Source organism: Homo sapiens, chromosome 5 (genome assembly GCF_000001405.40).
Source record: "Homo sapiens chromosome 5, GRCh38.p14 Primary Assembly".
NCBI classification, from domain to species: Eukaryota; Metazoa; Chordata; class Mammalia; order Primates; family Hominidae; genus Homo; species Homo sapiens.
The window spans coordinates 180,936,399-180,957,289 of NC_000005.10; the positions used below are offsets into that span (position 1 = coordinate 180,936,399).

Below are 20,891 nucleotides of genomic sequence, written 5' to 3' on the forward strand. Positions count from 1 at the left end.
AAGATACAACATCAACATACAAAGATCAGTTTCATTTCTATACACTAATGAAAAACTATCTGAAAAAGATTAAGAAAACAATTCCAATAGCAACAAAAAAGTACTTAGATATAAATTTAACCAGAGATGAAAGACCTGGTTAAAATTATGGAAAATTATAAAACACTGATTAAAGAAATTGAAGAAAACACAAGCAAATGGAAAACTATCCTGTGTTCATAATTGGAAGAATTAATATTGTTTTGATGTCCTTGACTAGCAGAGCTGCCGCTTGCCGTAGTGTGCTCTGCAGGAATTGTGGACGAACACAGCTGAAGCTTGCCACTGGCCACTCCATCCCCTCAACCAGTGACCCTGACCACTTGATTGGTGGAGCTGCTGCCTGCCACATGTGACTCCAGTGATCTAAGGACTTGTGGAGTCACATGTGACCAGACCACCAGTGAGCCGAAACTTTCAACTGTCAGAGGTGCTGTACACCACACATGTTCCCCAGGAATTGGGAATTAGCCTGCCCAGCATCTGCTCCCACCAGAAATACCACCCCCTGGAACAGTGGAGGCACCACACACTGCCTGCATCCCCCAGGGTTCCAAGGACTGGCGCACTCAGCACCTGCTGCCATGACTTCATATCCTTGATTGGCAGAGTGACTACATGCTGCACGCAGCCCCCCAGGAGTCTCAGGAACAGCCCATTTGGTGTCCACCACTGATGGTGGCCATATCTCATTTACTTGCAGAGCTGCTGCATGCTACGTGCATCGTCTAGGACTCCAGGTACTGGCCCACTCAGCACCTGGCACCTCTAGTAACCTTGCCTCCTCGACTGGTACACCCCTGGGACCAAGTGACCAGTGGAGCTGTCATGTTTGGTGTGCACTGCCCTTGCCTAAAAACCAGCCTAGCTGGTGGCCCCAGCTCCCTGCAAAGCTGTGCCATTGCCTCCAAAACTACACACAGCCTACAACATTGACACACTTGAAGGTACTTCCAATGTTGATTACAGCTGAAGCAGTTACATGGAAATTATTAATATAATACAGCACCCACGTATCCAACCAACACCATAGGACTCATCTACAGGAAAACATCTTTGCCTATAAAAGTTTCCACCTCAGGGAACTAGAAAAATAAAAAAAAGAAGCCCCAAGTTGAAAATGTTTGAAATAACAAAAATTAGAGCAGAAATAGAGAGTAGAAAAACAGAAGAAAACATCAACAAAACTAACAGGTGGTTTATATATAATGTTATTCCATAAAATTGGAAGAGGTTATTGTTCCACCAAATTTGCAGATATCAATGTAGGAACCCAAGAAACATGAAAATCCAAGGAAATATGACACCTCCAAAGGAACACAGTAATTCTTCAGTAACAGACTCCAAGGAAAATAAAATCTATGAATGCCTGAAAAGGAGTTCAAAATAATGATCTTAAGAACACTTAGTGAGACACAAGAGACTAGAAATGGAGAATTTAACAAAATCAGGAAAACAATTTTTCATCTAAATGAAATACTTTTTAAAAGCCCCTTTCCCCATTTAAAAAAAAAAAGAAATATTCAACAGAGAGACAGATACTACAAAACAGAGCTAAACAGGAATCTTGGAGCTAAGGAATTCAATGAATGAAATAAAAACATTGCCATTTGATGGATTACTATAGTGATAAAATTTGATTCCTTTCAAATTTATACAGGAGATAAATCAGAAGAAAGAATTTCTGAACTTGAAGACAGGTATTTTGAAATAACCCAGTCTGATGAAAAAAAGAAAGAGAAAAAAGAATGAAGAAAGTATACAGGACTTATGAAATACCATTAAGTGAAAAAATTTTCATATTATGTGAGTTTCAGAAGAAGAGATGAGAGATGGTGTAAATAACCTATTTAATAAAATAATAGCTGAAAACTTTGCAAGTCCTGGAAGAGATGTGGACATCCAGTTCCAGGAAGCTTAAAAGTTTCCAAAATATTCAACACAAAAAGGTCCTCTACATGGCACATTTTAGTCAAATTGTCAAAAGGACAAACAGAGAATTCTAAAATGAGCAAGATAAAAGTGTCATGCTACGTACAAGAGAATTCCCATCAGACTAACAACAGATTTCTTTCCTTCTTCCTTCCTTCCTTCCTTCCTTTCTTTCTTTTTTTTTTTTTTGATGGAGTCTTGCTCTGTCGCCAGGCTGGAATCCACTGGCACGATTTCGGCTCACTGCAGCCTCTGACTCCCTAGTTCAAGTGATTATCCTGCCTTAGCCTCTCGAGTAGCTGGGATTACAGGCACGCACCACCACACCCAGCTAATTTTTGTATTTTTAGTAGAGACGGGGTTTCGCCATGTTGGTCAGGATGGTAACAGCAGATTTCTTAACAGAAATCTTACAGGCCAAGAGAGAAAGGGATACTATGTTCAAAGTGCTGGAAGGGAAAAAAAGCCAACTAAGACATGATGGCCAGCAAAGATATTCTTCGGAAATAAAGAAGAAAAAGATATTTTTTAGATAAGCAAAACTGAGGGAATTTATCACCACTAGATCAGTCTTACAAGAAATGCTCAAGGGAGTCCTATGTCTGGAAGGGAAAGGATGATAACTACCATATGAAAACACCTGAAGGTAGAAAACTCACTGGAAGAATAGATATGAAAATGAGAAAGAGAAAGGAATCAAATTTTATCACTATAGTAATCCATCAAACGGCAAAGGGAAATGATAAGAGAGGAAGAATCAAACTTGGATATACAAAATAATGAACAAAAAGTTAACAAAATGACAGGAATAAGTCCTCACTCATCAACAATACCCTTGAATGTAAATAGTTTAAATTCCCTAATTAAAATATATAGATTGGCTGAATGAATGAATGAATGAATAAATGAAAAAAGATCCCATTATATGGTGCCCAGAAGAAACTCACTTCACTTGTAAAGACACACAAAGACTGAAATTGAGGGATGATGAATGGTATTCCACACAAAAGGAAAAAAAAACAAGCAAGAATAGCTATACTTATATTAGATAAGATAGATTTTAAGTCAAAAACTGTAAAAAGGGACAAAGAAGATTATTATTTAATGATAAAGGGGTCAATTCAACAAGAGGATATAGCAATTGTAAATATATATGAACCCAATACAAAAGCACCAAAATTCATAAAGCAAATATTACTAGATCTAAAGGGAAAGGTAGATCCCAATACATTAATTAATGTAATGTCTAGCTGAACTGTCTAGCTGTTGAAGCTGGGGGCTTCAACACCCCACACTCACCATTGGACAGATCATCTAGACAGAAAATCAACAAAGTAACATTGGATTTATTGTACCCTATACACCAAATGAACCTAGCAGATATTTACATAACATTTTATCCACAAGCTGCAGAATACACATTCTTCTCATCAGCACATGGAATATTCTGCAGGATACATTTTATGTTAGGCCACAAAACAACCTCAACAATTTTTTTTAAAATAAAAACTATATCAAATATATTTTCAGGGCACAATAGAATAAAACAAGAAATCAATAACAAGAACACTGGAAATTGTACAAATACATGGAAATTAAACGACATTCTTCTGAACAACCATTGGCTTAATGCAGAAATTAAAAACAAAGTTAAAGAACTCCTTAAAACAAATGAAAATATAAATACAACATACCAGCTGGGCACAGTGGCTCATGCCTGTAATCCCAGCACTTTGGGAGGCTGAGGTGGGCAGATCACGAGGTCAAGGGGTCAAGACCAGCCTGACCAACATGGTGAAGCACCATCTCTACTAAAAATACAAAAAATTGGCTGAGCATGGTGGCACTAATCCCAGCTACTCGGGAGGCTGAGGCAGGAGAATCTCTTGAACCAGGGAGGCAGAGGTTGCAGTGAGCTGAGATCATGCTGCTGCACTTCAGCCTGGGCGACAGAGCAAGACTTCATCTCAGAGGAAAAAAAAAAAAAAAGAAACACAAGATACCAAAACATATGGGATATAGTAAAAGCAGTACTAGGAGGTAAGTTTATAGCAATAAATGCCTACATCATAAAAAGTATAAATATTTCAAGTAGAAAAAACTCCAAACAATTAGCCTCAAGAAACTAGAAGGGCAAGAAGAAACAAAGCCCAAATTTTGTAGAAGGAAATAAATAATAAATATCAGAGGAGAAATAAATGAAATAAAGACCAAAATTATAAGACAAAAGACCAACAAAATAAGAGTTTGTGTTTTGAAAAGATAAAATTGACAAACCCTTAGCTGGAATAACTATGAAAAAAAGAGAGAAGATCCAAATAAAGAAAATCAGAAACCAAAAGGAGGCATTACAACTGATACCAGAGAAATAGAGAAATACAAAGGATCATTGGAGACTATTAAGAACTATATGCCACGGGGCACAATTGTTCATGCCTGTAATCTCAGCACTTTGGGAGGCCAAGGCAGGCAAATCACTTGAGGTCAGGAGCTCGAAACCAGCCTGGCCAACATGGTGGTGAAACCCTGTCTCTACAAAAAAACAACAATAACAACAAAAAAAACCCATAAAAATTAGCTGGGCTTGGTGGCATGCACCTGTAGCCCCAACTACTCAGGAGGCTGAGGCTGAGAATCATTGAACCTGGGAGGCAGAGGCTGCAGTGAGCCGAGATTGAGATGCAGCCTGGGAAACACAGCAAGAAGAAAGAGGTGGAAGGGAGGGAGGGAGGAAGGAAGGGAGGAAGGAAGGAAGGAAGGAAGGAAGGAAGGAAGGAAGGAAGGAGAGAAAGAAAGAACTAGTATATGCCAACAAGTTGGAAAATGTAAAAGAAGTAGATAAACTCATAAACACATGGAACATACTAAAATAGAGTCAGGAAAAACTAGAAAACCTAATCAGACTAATAATGAGTAACAAGAGTGAATCAGCAGTAGGAAGTATCCCAACAAACAAAAGCCCAAAACAAGATGACTTCACTGCTGGATTCTATTAAACTTTTAAAGAACTAACACCTTCTCTTCTTAAAGTATTACAAAAAGTTGAAGGGGTGGGAATTCTTCCAAACTCATTCCATGAGGACAGTATTATCCTGATGCCAAAATCAGAAAAGAATACAACAAAAAGGAGAATGCTACAGGCCAATATTCATTATGAACATAGATGCAAAAATTCTCAACAAAATACTAGCAATCCAAATCCAATAGCATATCAAAAAGAATATACACCATGATTAAGTGGGATTGATTCTAGGGATGCAAGGATGGTTCAACATATGGAAATCAATAAATTTGATATATCACATCAACAGAATGAAGACCAAAAAGTATATGATCATCTCAATAGACATTAAAAAATATTTGATGAAATTCAACATCCTGCATGATATAAACTCTCAACAGTTTAGATGTAGAAGAAATGTACCTCAACACAATCAAGGTCACATATGACAAACTCACAGCTAACATCATACAGAATGGGGAAAAGTTGAAAGCTTTTCAATAAGAACTGGAACAAGACAAGGATGCCCACTTTTACTACTCTTATTCAACAAAGTACTGGAAGTCCTAGCCGGAGCAATCAGGCAAGAGCAAAAAATAAATGGCATCTAAATTGGAAAGGAGAAAGTCTAATTGTCCCTGTTTGCAGACAACATGATCTTTATATAAAAAAACTAAAGATTCCATCAAAAAAACCTCTTAGAACTGATAAACAAATTCAGTAATGTTGCAGGATACAAAATCAACATATAAATTCAGTAGTGTTTCTACACACCAATAACAAACTAGTTGAAAAAGAATCAAGAAAGCAGTATCATTTACAATAGCTACAACAAAATAAAATACCAAGGAATAAGTTTAACCAAGGAGGTGAAGATCTATACAATAAAAACTACAAAACATTGATGAAAAGAACTGAAGGGAACACAAACAAATGAAAAGATACCCCATGTTCCTGATGTAAGAGAATTAAGATTGGTAAAATGACCACACTACCCAAAGTGATCTACAGAGTCAATGCAATCCTTATCAAAATACCAATGACATTCTTTAAAGAAATAAAAACCAAAATCCTAAAATTCATATGGAGCCACAAAAGACTCCAAACAGCCAAAACATTACTGAATAAAAGAACAAAGCTGGAAGTATCACACTATGGAGCTTCAAAATACACTACAAAAGCATGCTAGCCAAGACAGCGTGGTACTAGCATAAAAGCAGACACACAGAAGAATGAGACAGAATACAAAACCCAGATATAAATCCACATATTTACAGTCAGCTCACTTTTGAGAAAGGTGCCAAGAATATATATTAGAGAAAAGAGTCTCTTCAAAAAATAGTGCTGCATTTGCTAGTATCAATATGCAGAAGAATGAACTAACCCCTATCTCTCACCATATATAAAAATAAACTCTTGATGAATTAAAGGCTAAAATGTAAAACCTGAAACTATAAAGCTACTAGAAGAAAACATAGGAAAAATGCTTCAGGACATTGGACTGGGCAATAATTTTTTTTTATGTGATTTCAAAACCACAGACAATAAAAGCAGAAACAGACAAGTGTGATTATATCAAACTGAAAAGCTTTTGCACAACAAAGGAAATAATTAACAGAGTGAAGAGGTAACTTACAGAATGGGAGAAAATATTTGCAAACTATACATCTGACTAGGTATTCATATCCAGGATATAAGGAACTCAAACAACTCAAGAGTGAAAAAACCCAAATAATCCAATCACAAAAGGGAAGATAGACTTTTTTTTTTTTTTTTTTTTTTGAGGCAGAGTCTCGCTCTGTCGCCCAGACTGCAGTGCAATGGCGCAATCTTGGCTCACTACAACCTCAGCTTCCTGGGTTCAAGTGATTCTCCTGCCTCAGCCTCCCGAGTAGCTGGGATTACAGACACCATCCACCACACCCAGCTAATTTTTATATTTTTAGTAGAGACGGGGTTTCACCAGGTTGGCCAGGCTGGTCTCTAACTCCTGACCTCAGGTGATCCATCCAGCCTCCCAAAGTGCTGGGATTACAGGCATGAGCCACCGTGCCTGGCCAGGATGATAGACCTTATATACATTTCTTAAAAGAAAACATACAAATGAACAACAGATATATAAAAATCTGTTCAGTATCACTAGTCATCAGGGAAATGCAAATCAAAACTACAATGAGATAAAACATTACTCAAGTTAAAATTGCTATTATCAAAAAGACAAAAGATAACAATTGTTGATGTGGAGAAGAGGAACACTTACACACCATTGGTGGGATTTTCAATTAGTGTGTTCATTATGGAAAACACTATGGAGATTTCTCAAAACATTAAAAACAAAACTACCATAGATCCAGCAATCAAAGTACTGAGTATACCCAAAAGAAAGAAAATCAACATGTTGAAGAAATCTGCACTCCTATGTTTATTTCAGCACTATTCACAATAGCTAAGATATGGAATCAACCTAAGTGTTTATTAACAAATTAATGAAAAGCAAATATGATGTATATACAAAATAGAATATTATTCAGTAATAAAAAGAGTGAAATCCTATTATTTGCAACAACATGGATGAACTTAGAAGACACTACGTTAAGTTACATTAAACCATACATGATCTCACCCATAAGTGGAATCCAATAAATGGATCTCATAGAGGTACAGAATCTAGAAGACATTAAGTAAATTAAGCCAGACACAGAAATACAAATATCACATGATCTCACCCACATATGGAATCCAAAAAGTTTATCTCATAGAAGTAGAGAAGTAGGGGTTACCAGAGACTGGTGGAGCTGGGGATAGGGTAGAGGGAGGAATGGAGAAAGACTGGCCAATGCATACAAAGTTACAATTAGATAGGAAGAAAATGTTCTGGTGTCCTGTTGCATAGCAAAGTGACTATAGTTAACAAGAATGTATAGTATATTTCAGAATAGCTAGAAGAGAGGATTTTGAATGTTCTCACCACAAAGACACGACAAGTGTTTGAGGTGATGGAAATGATCATTACACAATGTATACATGTATCACGACATCACATTGTACCACATAAATATGTACAGTTATTATGAGGCAATTAAAATTCTTTTAAAAAGCTGATCTCATAGAAGTAGAAAGTGGAATAGTGGTTACTAGAGGCTGGTAAGGGTAGAGGGATTGCAGGGGATGAGGAGAGGTTGATCAGGTACAAAATTATATTTAAATAGCAGCAATAAGTTCCAGTCTTCTATTGCACAGTAGGGTAACTATAATTACCAATAACATATTACATATCTCAAAATAGCTAGAAAAGAGGATTTTGAATGTTCTCACCTTAAATGATCAATGTTTTAGGTGATACCTTAATTTGATCATTACATATTGTACACATATATCAAAGCACCATTTTGTACCCTGTAAATATGAACAATTATTACATCAATACAAAGTAAAATAAAACTTAAAAAACTGAACACAAATAAAGGAAATATATTCCATGTTCAGGGATTGGAAGGATTAGCATTGTTAAAATGTTTATACTACCCAAAGCTATTTACAGATTCAATACAGTCTCTCTCAAGATTCTAACGTCACTTTTCACAGATAAAGAAAAAAGGAATCCTTAAATTCATATGGAATCACAAAAGATCTCAAATAGCCAAAGCAATCTTGAGCAAAAATAACAAAGTTAGAGTCACAATACTCTGATTTCAAAATATAAAGTGATTATAATTAAAACGTCCTGGGGCTGGCACAAAAGCGGACACATCACTCAATGGAACAGGATGGAAAGTTTGGAAGTACGCCCATGTGTTTATGAACAATTGATTTTTGAAAAAGGTGCCAAGAACACAGGATGAAGAAAGGACAGTCTCTTCAATAAATGATATTGAAACAAGTGGATATCCACATGCACATGTGTGAAATTGAACCCTTATCTCACACCATGTACAAAAACGAACTCAGATTAAAAAGTTAAACATAAGACCTGCAACTATAAAACTGCTAGAAGAAAATATATGGGCAAAGCTCCATGACATTGATCTTGGCAATAATTTTTTTGAATATGACATAAAAAGCACAGACAAAAAAGCAAAAATAGACAAATGGGATTACATCAAACTAAAAAGCTTCTGTACAGCAAAGAAAACAGTTAACAAGGTGAAGGACTACCCACAGAGTGAGAGAAAATATTTGCAAACCAAACAGCTGATAGAGGGTTAATAACCAAAATATATAAGAAATTCAAACAGCTCAATAGAAAGAAAACAAATAACCTGATCTTAAAAAAGGGGAAAGGACCTGAACAAACATTTCTCAAAATTACATTTAAGTGGACAACAGGGAGAGTGTAGGCTTGCGCTAACTCTCTTCTTTCACCTAGTTGCACTCCTGAGAGCAAGATGGGTCACCAGCAGCTGTACTGGAGCCACTCATGAAAATTCGGTCAGGGTTCTTGCTCTTGTCGAGTCTGATCCGGAAATATGGCCTCAATATGTGCTGGCAGTGTTTCCATCAGCACGCAAAGGACATATGTTTCATTAAGTTGAACTAAGTGCTCTTCCTTGAATGGATTATCCAAGGCATCTACGCAATGAAAAACCATGATAGCTCTTTGTACATAAAATAAACATTAATAAATAAATAAATAAATAAATAAATAAATGGACAACAGGTACATGAAGAAATGCTCAGCATCTCTAATCATTGTGGAAACGCAAATTAAACCACAATGAGATATCACCTTACACCTCTTTGAATGGCTATTATCAAAAAGATTAAAGATAAGTGTTGGCAAGGATGCTGAGAAAAGGAACTCATACATTATTGGTGGGAATGTAAATTAGTATGGCAATTATGGAAAACTGTATGGAGTTTTCTTAAAAAACTAAGAATAGAACTACTCTATGATTCAGCAGTCCTACTTGTGGGAATATATGAAAATGGATTGTAATCAATATGTTGATGGAATAGCTGTATTACTCACAATTGCTAAATTCAGTCTAAGTGTCCATCATTCAGATGAATGGATAAAGAAAATGTGATCTATAAATACAATGGAATACAATATTTAGCCTTTAAAAAAAGGATGGACATTTTGTCGTTTGCAACTCCGAGGATAAACCTGAAGGACATTATGCTAAGTGAAATAAGCCAAGCACAGAAAGATGAATCTCTTGTGATCTGATATATGTCAAAGCTAAAAAAGTTGAACTCATAACAATAGAGAGTAGAATGTTACCAGAGGCTGGGGCAGAGGGCAAGAGAGAATGGGGAGTTGTTGGTCAAAGGGTGCAAAGATTGAGATAGACAAGAGGAATATGTTTTGAAGTCTACTGAAGAACAGGGTGACTGTAGTTAACAATAATATATTGTATATTTCAGAATAACAGAAAGAATAAAATTTAAATGTCTCATCATAAAAATGATAAGTAAGGGAGATGATGGATGTCTTAATTAGCTTGATTTAATCATTCCACATTGTAGGCATGTATCAAAGAGTCACACCGTACCCATTAATATGTATGTGATTTGTCAATTTAAATAATAGTAATAAAAGGAGGGAAGAGATAGTTTTTCAGACAAGATGCAAATATTTTAAGACATCAGTTCTCTCTGAATTGATCTATAGATTCAATACAATTCCATTCAAAATCTCAGCAGAATTTTCTTAGAACTTGACAAGTCAATACAAAAATTTATGTCGCAGAGCAAAGTTGCCAAGGCACAACTGAATAAGAAGTGAGGAAACTTAGTCTAGTTTATACCAAGACATATCCCGGAACTGTGGTGATTAAGCCACTCAAAATTATTGGCACAAAAGTGGACAAGTAGACAAATGACACAGAGCAGAGAGCCCAGAAACAAATCCAAACCTAAACAGAAAGCTTATTGGGTCAGAGGTGATGCTGCACGTATCAGTGTGTAAAGGAATGTCCATTCAATAAATGTTGGCACAGTCGTTATCTGTTGAGAAGAAAATTAAATAGAACCACTACCTCATTTTATAACAAAAGTACAATCAAAGTATTAAGCCTATAGGAGAATTTATAGAAACCTATTTCTTCCATTGTGGGGAACAAGGTGACTCCTTAAAGAAGAATTGAATTGTGTCTTTTGTTCACCAATAACTAAAATGTCTGTGGGATTGTTTTTCAGATACCTTTTTCGAGCCTATATCGTGGCACCTGGCTACCAAAGTACTGGGAATACTCTGCTGTGGCCTATTTTTTGGCATTGTTGGACTGAAGATTTTCTTCTCCAAATTCCAGTGTAAGCGAGAGAGAGAAGCATGGGCCGGTGCCTTATTCATGGTTCCAGCAGGGACAGGATCAGAGATGCTCCCACATCCAGCTGCTTCTCTTCTTCTAGTCCTAGCCTCCAGGGGCCCAGGCCCAAAAAAGTAATCATCCTTCTCTAGGGTATTCTAACATCTCTTCCTCTGGAAATATCAACTACGACAGCCCCTTGCTACTTCATTTAGGTCAAATAATAAGGGGATGAATGATTTTCAGTACCTATAGAGAGAGCTTGGATAATTTTCCATGAACACCACCAAGACTCCTATTAAAAAGTTTTAATGTGGTGAACAAATTCATAAAGGAGGAAGCAAAAGTGACTGACAATAAGATAAAATTATATTCAGTCTCAATAAGACTTTTCACCCCCAAAACCAATTTCCTCCTCCTTGGGAGTGACACTTCCCCTTGGGGGTGAGGCCACCCCCGCCTCCCCTCCCAGCTGCCTTCTCCCATCTCCATCCCCACCTCCACAGCATCCCAGCTGTTGTCCCTCTCCTTAGCATGCACCTTCCTGATCTCTTGCTCCACCCCAGAGAGCCACACTCCGTGCAGGAGCTGGGGAGACGAGCACATATAAGTGTCCTAGGAGAGGCCCTGCCCTTCACACCTGCAGCTCGTCCCACCTGTGCAAGGAGCCAGCGTCGTGTTTGTGCCTTGTACACTCCTGTGTCCACCACTGAATATACTGTTTCTGTTTCAGGGAAAATCCAGGCGGAACTGGGTAAGTATGTGTCATGTCCTGAGCCTCCCACACATGGTTCTCCCGGGTCCCTCCCTGATCCACAGTTTGAGCCTCTGGACGACCCTGGCTGCAGGCTGGACAGGAAGCACCGGCAGGTGGAGGAGAGCAGCTGCTCGCTCTCTCCATCCACTGCTCATGAGTTACCCCTCGGACATCTGGAGGGCTTAGGATAGGCCCCGGGGCCTGGAAGTCCCCACAAATTGTCTGTGCCTGTTGCCCGTTGGTTTGCTGTGTGTGTGGTGGGGGAAGGTGTTGATCATGAGCTCTGAGGGTGTCTGGGCCACAGTGAGGAACCTGAGAAAAATTTGTGGGTGATCCTCGACCTCCCCTGGCCTGATGCTTTGAGACTTTATCCAGTTCTGTATCAACCACTAAATAGTCTGCTTTTTGTTTTGTGGGAACTCCAGGATAAACTGGGTGAGAGTGTTACCACTCGCAGGGATTCCCTCCCACGCCCTCCCTGGGCCCCCGCTCTGTGACGTCAGCCTCTTACATGTTTTTTGTTTTTGTTTTTGTTTTTCAGACTGGAGAAGAAAGCACGGACAGGCAGGTAAAAGAAAATATTCCTCTTCACACATTTATGACTCCTTTCCAAGTCTCTCGTTTATGGATTTTTATATCCTGAGGCCCGTGGGTCCCTGCAGAGCCAAGCTTGTGATGGGAACTCTGAAATTGCAGATTCTGGGGGAGGTGCATTTTGTAGAGAAGCCCCATAGCCTTCTTCGGATCTCTGGAGGGTCCACAACACTCAAAAAGGGTCCCAATCCTTGGTCTTTCCCTTCTCCCTGCGCCCTGTTTCCCACGTGAGCACTGAACTGCCTGCTCTGTCTGCTTGCTTTCAGAATTGAGAGACGCCCGGAAACACGCAGGTACCAACGCCTGAGAGGGTGACAGTGGGACAGAATCTCAGGTGGACATGAGAGGGGGAACTGAACAGGGACAGATACGGGAACACAGAGTGATGCTGAGACCCATCCTGCCTGCAGATGGAGAAACTGGATGCTTGATCGCCCCCAAGGGTTCAGTGCCCCCAGACACACTTCTTTCCCTTGGTCTAGAAGGGGAGAAGACAGGGGCTGGGTAAACGGGAGACGGGGGGGTCTTTGGCACAGTTTCAGGGAATTGAGGGCACTAGTGACTGGTCAGGGGTCTGAGCTGAGGGGAAGGAAGTAAAGTCAGGCAGAAAATTCTGAGTGGGAGGAAGTTAGATAGTGGGGTCCCTCCAGCTCTTATGAATCAAATAGTTTTATGTATGAAGGGACAGTGGCAGGGTTGGGTGATATGCCGAGATTGGGACGTCATATTGAGACATATCTAGACATTGATGAGTCCTCCAGGCTGCACTGGTGATGAGAGGACCTGAAAGGCAGTGTCTGCGGGAGGCTCAGGTCCGGGGCCTCACCTATGCCACCCAGAGCCAGTCTGCAGTGGGAGGGTCGACCTCTTGCTCCAGCCCAGATTTCGTCTTCAGTAACTCATGCTTCCTCTCTCCCCCACCGCACCCCAGTGGAGGTGACTCTGGATCCAGAGACGGCTCACCCGAAGCTCTGCGTTTCTGATCTGAAAACTGTAACCCATAGAAAAGCTCCCCAGGAGGTGCCTCACTCTGAGAAGAGATTTACAAGGAAGAGTGTGGTGGCTTCTCAGAGTTTCCAAGCAGGGAAACATTACTGGGAGGTGGACGGAGGACACAATAAAAGGTGGCGCGTGGGAGTGTGCCGGGATGATGTGGACAGGAGGAAGGAGTACGTGACTTTGTCTCCCGATCATGGGTACTGGGTCCTCAGACTGAATGGAGAACATTTGTATTTCACATTAAATCCCCGTTTTATCAGCGTCTTCCCCAGGACCCCACCTACAAAAATAGGGGTCTTCCTGGACTATGAGTGTGGGACCATCTCCTTCTTCAACATAAATGACCAGTCCCTTATTTATACCCTGACATGTCGGTTTGAAGGCTTATTGAGGCCCTACATTGAGTATCCGTCCTATAATGAGCAAAATGGAACTCCCATAGTCATCTGCCCAGTCACCCAGGAATCAGAGAAAGAGGCCTCTTGGCAAAGGGCCTCTGCAATCCCAGAGACAAGCAACAGTGAGTCCTCCTCACAGGCAACCACGCCCTTCCTCCCCAGGGGTGAAATGTAGGATGAATCACATCCCACATTCTTCTTTAGGGATATTAAGGTCTCTCTCCCAGATCCAAAGTCCCGCAGCAGCCGGCCAAGGTGGCTTCCAGATGAAGGGGGACTGGCCTGTCCACATGGGAGTCAGGTGTCATGGCTGCCCTGAGCTGGGAGGGAAGAAGGCTGACATTACATTTAGTTTGCTCTCACTCCATCTGGCTAAGTGATCTTGAAATACCACCTCTCAGGTGAAGAACCGTCAGGAATTCCCATCTCACAGGCTGTGGTGTAGATTAAGTAGACAAGGAATGTGAATAATGCTTAGATCTTATTGATGACAGAGTGTATCCTAATGGTTTGTTCATTATATTACACTTTCAGTAAGGTCTTTGCTTGTTTATTTCACATGAATTTATTGTTCCCTACTTCAAATCACCCATGAAACAGGCACCTGCTCTGTGCCAGAGCCAGAGGGAAGGTGGCACTTCCATTGCATTCTATAGAGCCCGCATTACTTTCATACCAAAACCAGACAAGGACATTACAAGAAAAGAAAGGAAAACTACACGTCCATATCCCCCATGAACTTAGACACAAATATTCTAATTAAAATTTTAGCAAACTGAATCCAGCAATACATTCAAAGAATAATACATCACTACTAAATATGTTTTTTCTCATATGTGGCTTAATATTCAAATATCAACCAGTTTAATTAACCACATTAACAAACTGAAAAAGAAAACTATACGATCATTTCAATAGATGCAGGAAAAAATTACATCTGTGAGCAAAGAAGCTACACAGATGACAGGCACATGAAAAGATACTCAACATCATAGTAATTGAGACAATTCAAATTAAAACAATGAGATACCATTCCTACCTATTGGAGTGGTAATAAAATTACACAGAATGATCATACCCAGTGTTGGCCACAATGTGCAGAAACTGAAACTCACACCCTGCTGATAGGAATGTAAAAGAGTGTAAAAATGTAAAAACTATTTTGGAAAACTGTATGGCAGTTTCTTTAAAAGTAAACAGTCACCTAACGTATGGTCCAGCCATCCCACTCTTAAGTATTCACCAAGAGAAAAGGAACTGCATGTCTTGACAAAGCCTTGTACCTCAATATTCATAGAAGCCTCATTCAGAATAGGTGAAAGGTGGAGACAGCCCAGATACTCACAACAGATGAGCAGATAAACAAACCGTGGTGCATCCACGCATCAGGCGCTCCATGACAGTCAAAAATCAACTCTTCGGGCAGGCAGTGAAGGGTCGTCACACAGCAGCTGTGGGTGCAGAAGGTGGTGGATTCCATGGTGGAGAGTCTGGACAGAGAGAACATCCAGAAGATCCAGGTGAGCAGCCCGAGGCCCAGCCAAGGCGTGGCCAGGGTGAAAGACAAGAAAGGCGAAGGCTCCTGGCCTTCGAACCTCATCCTTTGAGTGCTATGCCCACATTTAAATATACATGCTTTATTTTAAAGAGCAGTTCTAGGTTCATAGAAAAGTCACGTGGAAAGTACAAAGAGTTCCCATATACCCTCTGCCCACACAGGTGCATAGCTCTCCCTACTGTCCACATCCCACCAAGATGGAACATTGTAACTATCAATAAACCTATGTTAACACCTCATTATCACCCAAAGTCTGCAGCTGACATTAGCGTTCACTCTTGGTGTTGTACATTCCATGGGTTTTGGCAAATGGATAATGACATGGATCTATCATCACTGCATCACACAGATGCTTTCTTTGCCCTAAAAATCCTCTGTGCTCTGCTATTATTCATGCTTCCCTCACCACTAACCTCTGGCAACCACTGGTCTTTTTACTATTTCCAGAGATTTGCCTTTTCTGGAATGTCATATAATTGGAGTCATACAATATGTGGTCTTTTTAGATTGTTTTCTTTCACTTTATAATATAAACAGTCACATTTTTAAAATCACAGTGATATGCCTGATACACTACTATTGCTTTATTGATTTTATGTAATGTCCAAGTCTGTAGGTACTCAGGTACCTGAGTACGGACAGTGTCAAGAGGAGGAGAGGGATGTGCTTCTTAATGCAGCATTTGCTGAGTGAGAAGAGGTGACCACCCCAGGAGCTGCCAATGTTCAATCCCTTCTGGCCTTAGCCCAGGGAGCTTGAGGGTGATTGAAGTGGAAATCCACAGGGTCTTCCACAGTCCCTTCTCCCCAGTGCTGGTAGAGTGTGTCTTAAAGCAGCTGTAGATGGAATACTACTTGGTTAAAAAGAAGGAACAAACTATTGATACATGCAACATTTTGGATGTATCTTGTAGGCGGCATATTCAGTGAAAAAAGTCCATCTCACCAAGTTCATAGGATATGACTCCATTTATATGACATTCTCAAAATCACAAAATTATAGAGAGGAAGAAAAATAAGTGGTTTCCAGGAATTAGGAAAGGGGGAGAGGGTGTGTGTTTTAGTCTGTTTTCACACTGCTATAAAGAACTACCTGAGACTGGGTAACTTATAAAGAAAAGAGGTTTAATTGACTCAGTTCTGCACGGCTGGGGAGGCCCAGGAAACTTACAATCATGGCAAAAGGCAAAGGGGAAGCAAAGCACGTCCTACATGGTGGCAGGAGAGAAAGAGAACAACGTGGGAACTGTCACACGCTTTTAAACCGTCAGATGTCGTGGAACTCACTCCCTATCATGAGAACAGCATGGGGGAACCACACCCATGACCCAATCACCTTACACCAGGTCCCTCTTTTGACACATGGGGATTATAATTTGACATGAGATTTGGGTGGGGACAAGAGTCACACCATATCAGAGTGATTTATAGATGCACATTGAGGGAGGTCTTCAATAGTGATGGAATAGTATGTTTTTTCCTTGAGACAGGGTCTCGGTCTATCTCCCAGGCTGCAGTGCAGTGGTTTAAGCATAGCTCACTGCAGCCTCGAATTTCCAGGCTTGAACGATCTTCTCACCTCATCCTCCTGAGTAGCTGGGACCACAGGCATGTGCCACCATGCCCTGCTACTTTTTTGACTTTTATTTTTAGTAGAGATGAGGTTTCCCTGTGTTGCCCAGGCTGGTCTCAAACTCTTGGGCTCAAGGGATCCTCCTGCCTCAGCCTCCCAAAGTGCTAGGATTACAGGTTTGAGCCACTGTGCTTGTTCTGGAACAGTATCTTGTTTATGATGGTGGTTACTTGAATTTATATATCTAATAAAATTGCACAGAACCACATGCATGTGCACACACACACACACACACACACACACACACAAATGAATGCATGTAAAAACTGCTAACATGTGAATCAGGCCTGGAGTCTAGTTAACATATTTATATCAATATCAATCTCCTGGTTTCAATATTGTGCCATAGCAAAGCTACATAAGATGTTGCCATTGCCTTAATTTTAAAAAATTGTTACCATTGGAGAAAGCTTGGTGAAGGGTACTCAAGACTCAACAATTTTTGCAATTTCCTGGGAGTTTATATGACTGTTTCAAAATAAAACAAAAATTTGTAAAGCAGCTTTAAAAAAACAACATTTATTTTAAAATGAAGTTGGGTTGTCGAAATAAATAAATGTGTGTGAAACAGAGTTTCAGAGATTCAACTGGTATCAGCTCACATCAAATGACAATGAAACAGAAGACTTAAAAAAATTTCTGTAGCTTTGAGTATCAGAACAACTATCTTCAACAAATCAAAATTGAATGATGCCATTAGCTGTGCCATCCAAAGTAAATAAGGACTAAAATCATGAATAAGAAAACTTGGAATAATAGGTGATAAAGCTAACATTAATGTAACATGGTAGTCCGACTAGAAACAATAAGTGCCAATATAACGAATTCCCCTGCAAAACATCCCCACCACCAAGTTAGTTTTCATTATAAAGATGATTAAAACAAACTAAAGCAGCCACAGACAGGAACACCGGGCCTGCCTCCTGGTGCAGCCGTCTGAGCTTCCCACCTTAGGACAGCAGTGGGAAGCAGGATGGTGGGGCCCAAGTCAGGAGCTAAGTCCCCCTACTGTGCCTGGGGAAGGATGCAAGGCTCCTGAGGCACCTCAGGAGAGGAAGCAGAGAGGGTTGTAGTCGATGAGCTGAGTCTGGAGGCCAGAGGGAGCCGAGGGTCTAGGAGCACGTGGTGAGTGGCAGAGATGCTGGTAGGCTCCCTGTGTGTTTTTCAGGGAGTAATAAATACAAGCCCAGAAACTACCAGGAGCCAGGCATTAGAGATATGAGGATGGACTGCTGTGAACTGTCTAGGAACAAAATAGCTGAAAGGGCACTGTGGAAGAAGGTGTCAGAAAATTAACTTCTGAAAGGAAAGGAGAGAGGGCTAGGAAGGCCTTGGGCAGCCAAGTTCATACAGAGACGTGTGTGTGTGCATGTGTGTGTGTGTGTGTGCGCGTGATGTAAGGAGAAAGGAGGAAAGAAGTGGGGGTAAAAGTGAAATTTTCTGAGCTATTCTGTGGTTTTTTTCTCTGACATGACCAAAATAGGAAGAAAAAGAAAATAAAACTAAAGAAAAAAACAAAAAAAAATTCACACACAAAAAAGGAGCAGCAATGTCACTCACACATGAAACCTGACTTCACATCCCAGATCTGCTTGGGATGCAGAAGTCCATTTGACTGTTAAAAATGTATTTTTATCAAAGTGATGCAAACTAATATTTAAAGGAGTTTTTAGGTCCGGTGCGGTGGCTCACATCTATAATCCTAGAACTTTGGGAGGCCAGGTGGGTGGACTGCTTGAGCCCAGGGGTTCGAGACCAGCCTGGGCAACATTGCAAAACCCTGTCTCTACAAAAAATACAAAAAATTAGCCAGGTGGGTGGTGCATGCCTGTGGACCCAGCTACTCGTGAGGCTGACAGGAGGATTGTTTGAGCCTGGGAGGTTGAGGCTGCAGTGAGCTGAGATCACGTCACTGCACTCCAGCCTGGGTGACAAAGAGAGACCCTGTCTCAAAACAAACTAACAAACAGAATCCCCCCCCACCACAAAAAACCAAACCAAAACCATGATTTTTAAAAGCATTGTAATAAAAAGCAATAGTACCCCAATGCCTTACTACTGTGTCCCTTTCCAACCCACCCCAGTGTTGTACCCACAGGGAAAACTTTATGGCTTCTCTTTTTGGTTGTTTTTCCTTATAGCTAAGTTACTTGTTTCTTCTTCTGGCATTTTATTTTATTTATTTATTTATTTAATTTTTTTTTTCGAGTCAGAGTCTCGCTCTGTCCCCCAAGCTGGAGTGCAGTGGTGCGATCTCGGCTCACTGCAACCTCCACCTCCCGGGTTCAAGTGATTCTCCTGTCTCAGCCTCCTGAGGAGCTGGGACTACAGGCACCCGCCACCACACCCAGCTAGGCTAATTTTTGTATTTTTCGTAGAGACAGGTTTTCACCATGTTGGCCAGGCTGGTCTCAAACTCCTGACCTCAGGTGATCTGCCCACCTCAGCCTCCCTAAAAGGGCTGGGATTACAGGCATGACCCACTGCGCTCAGCTATTTTGTTTTATTTTTAATTGACAAAAATTGTATATATCTGTCGTGTGTAAGATGTTGTATTGAAATATGTATGCAGTGTGGAATGGCTATAGACAGCTAATCAACATATGCATTACATCACATACTTATCTTTTTTGTGATGAGAACACATGAAATCTATTGTTTCAGTAATTTTCAAGAATACAATACATTGTTACTAACTATAGTCACCAGGTTGTATAATAGATCTCTTAAACGAATTCCTCCTAACTCAAACTTTTTACCTTTTGACCAACATTTCCCCAAACTTCCCACATACTCAGCCCCTGGAGACCACCATGCTATTTTTTACTTCTGTTAGTTCAACTTTTCTAGACTCTACATATACATAAGATCATGCAGTATTTCTTTTTCTGGGCCTGGCTTATTTATCTTAATATAATGTCCTCCAGGTTTATCTACGTTGTCACAAATAACAGGATTTTCTTCTTTTTTAAAGGTTCATACTACTTCATTGTGTATCTATATACATACATAGTGTCTACCCACACATAAATACACAAACACAATGTTGAATATTTTCTTCGGAGAAATGTTTATGTATATATACAATATTTTCTTTTTCTTTCCTTTTTTTTTTTTTTTTGAGACAGACTTTCACTCTTGTCGGCCAGGCTGGAGTACAATGGCGCGATCTCGGCTCACCGCAACCTCCGCCTCCTGAGTTCAAGCGATTCTCCTGCCTCAGCCTCCCAAGTAGCTGGGATAACAGGCATGGGCCACCACGCCTGGCTGATGCCTGTAATCCCAGCACTTTGGGAGGCCAAGGCAGGTGGATCATCTGAGGCCAGGAGTTCGAGACCAGCCTGGCCAACATGGTGAAACCCCATCTCTACTAAAAATACAATATTTTCTTTATCTCTTTATCTGTTTACGGGCGCCTGGGTTGATTCCATTTCTTGGCTGTTGTGGATAATGCTGCATGGCAGTGCAGATATCTCTTCAATATACCAATTTAAATTCCTTTGCATATACACCCAGGAGTAGGATTACTGAATCATAAGGTGGTCATATTTTTAATTTTGGGGGGAATCTCCATGCTGTTTTCGATAATGACTGTACTAATTTACATTCCCACCAACAGGGTGCAAGAACTCTCTTTTCTTTACATCCTTCACACCTATCTTTCATCACTTTGATAATCGCTATTCAAACAGGTGTGAGTCAACATCCCACTGTGATTTTAGTTTGCATT

General features: G+C 40.3%; 1 protein-coding gene and 1 pseudogene across 12 annotated transcripts in view, besides 1 other annotated feature; both read left to right on the forward strand.

The window, feature by feature from the left end:
• The window catches only part of BTNL8 (butyrophilin like 8), a 51,748-nt gene extending 37,240 nt beyond the window's left edge, over positions 1–14,508 (forward strand). For 9 of the 12 annotated variants that reach the window (XM_047417764.1, NM_001159709.2, NM_001040462.3 and 6 more), the window contains 5 exons: positions 11,114–11,227; positions 11,957–11,977; positions 12,522–12,548; positions 12,841–12,867; positions 13,506–14,508. In XM_047417764.1, coding sequence (XP_047273720.1) covers positions 11,114–11,227; positions 11,957–11,977; positions 12,522–12,548; positions 12,841–12,867; positions 13,506–14,146 — 830 coding nt within the window. In that variant the 3' untranslated portion in view covers positions 14,147–14,508. Of the gene's footprint in view, positions 1–11,113; positions 11,358–11,956; positions 11,978–12,521; positions 12,549–12,840; positions 12,868–13,505 lie in introns of all 12 variants that reach the window. The other 3 variants (NM_024850.3, NM_001159708.2, XM_011534649.3) reach the window with 3 other exon arrangements.
• On the forward strand, positions 9,328–9,589 carry RPS29P12 (ribosomal protein S29 pseudogene 12; annotated as a pseudogene).
• Positions 13,580–14,779: an enhancer, noted in NCBI's record as "CDK7 strongly-dependent group 2 enhancer chr5:180376978-180378177 (GRCh37/hg19 assembly coordinates)". NCBI's record gives its function as "activates an origin of replication core promoter dependent on BRD2, BRD4, P300/CBP, MED14 and CDK7 cofactors, with strong dependence on CDK7, by STARR-seq in HCT116 cells {active_cell/tissue: HCT116}" and the evidence as "EXISTENCE:reporter gene assay evidence [ECO:0000049][PMID:35650434]".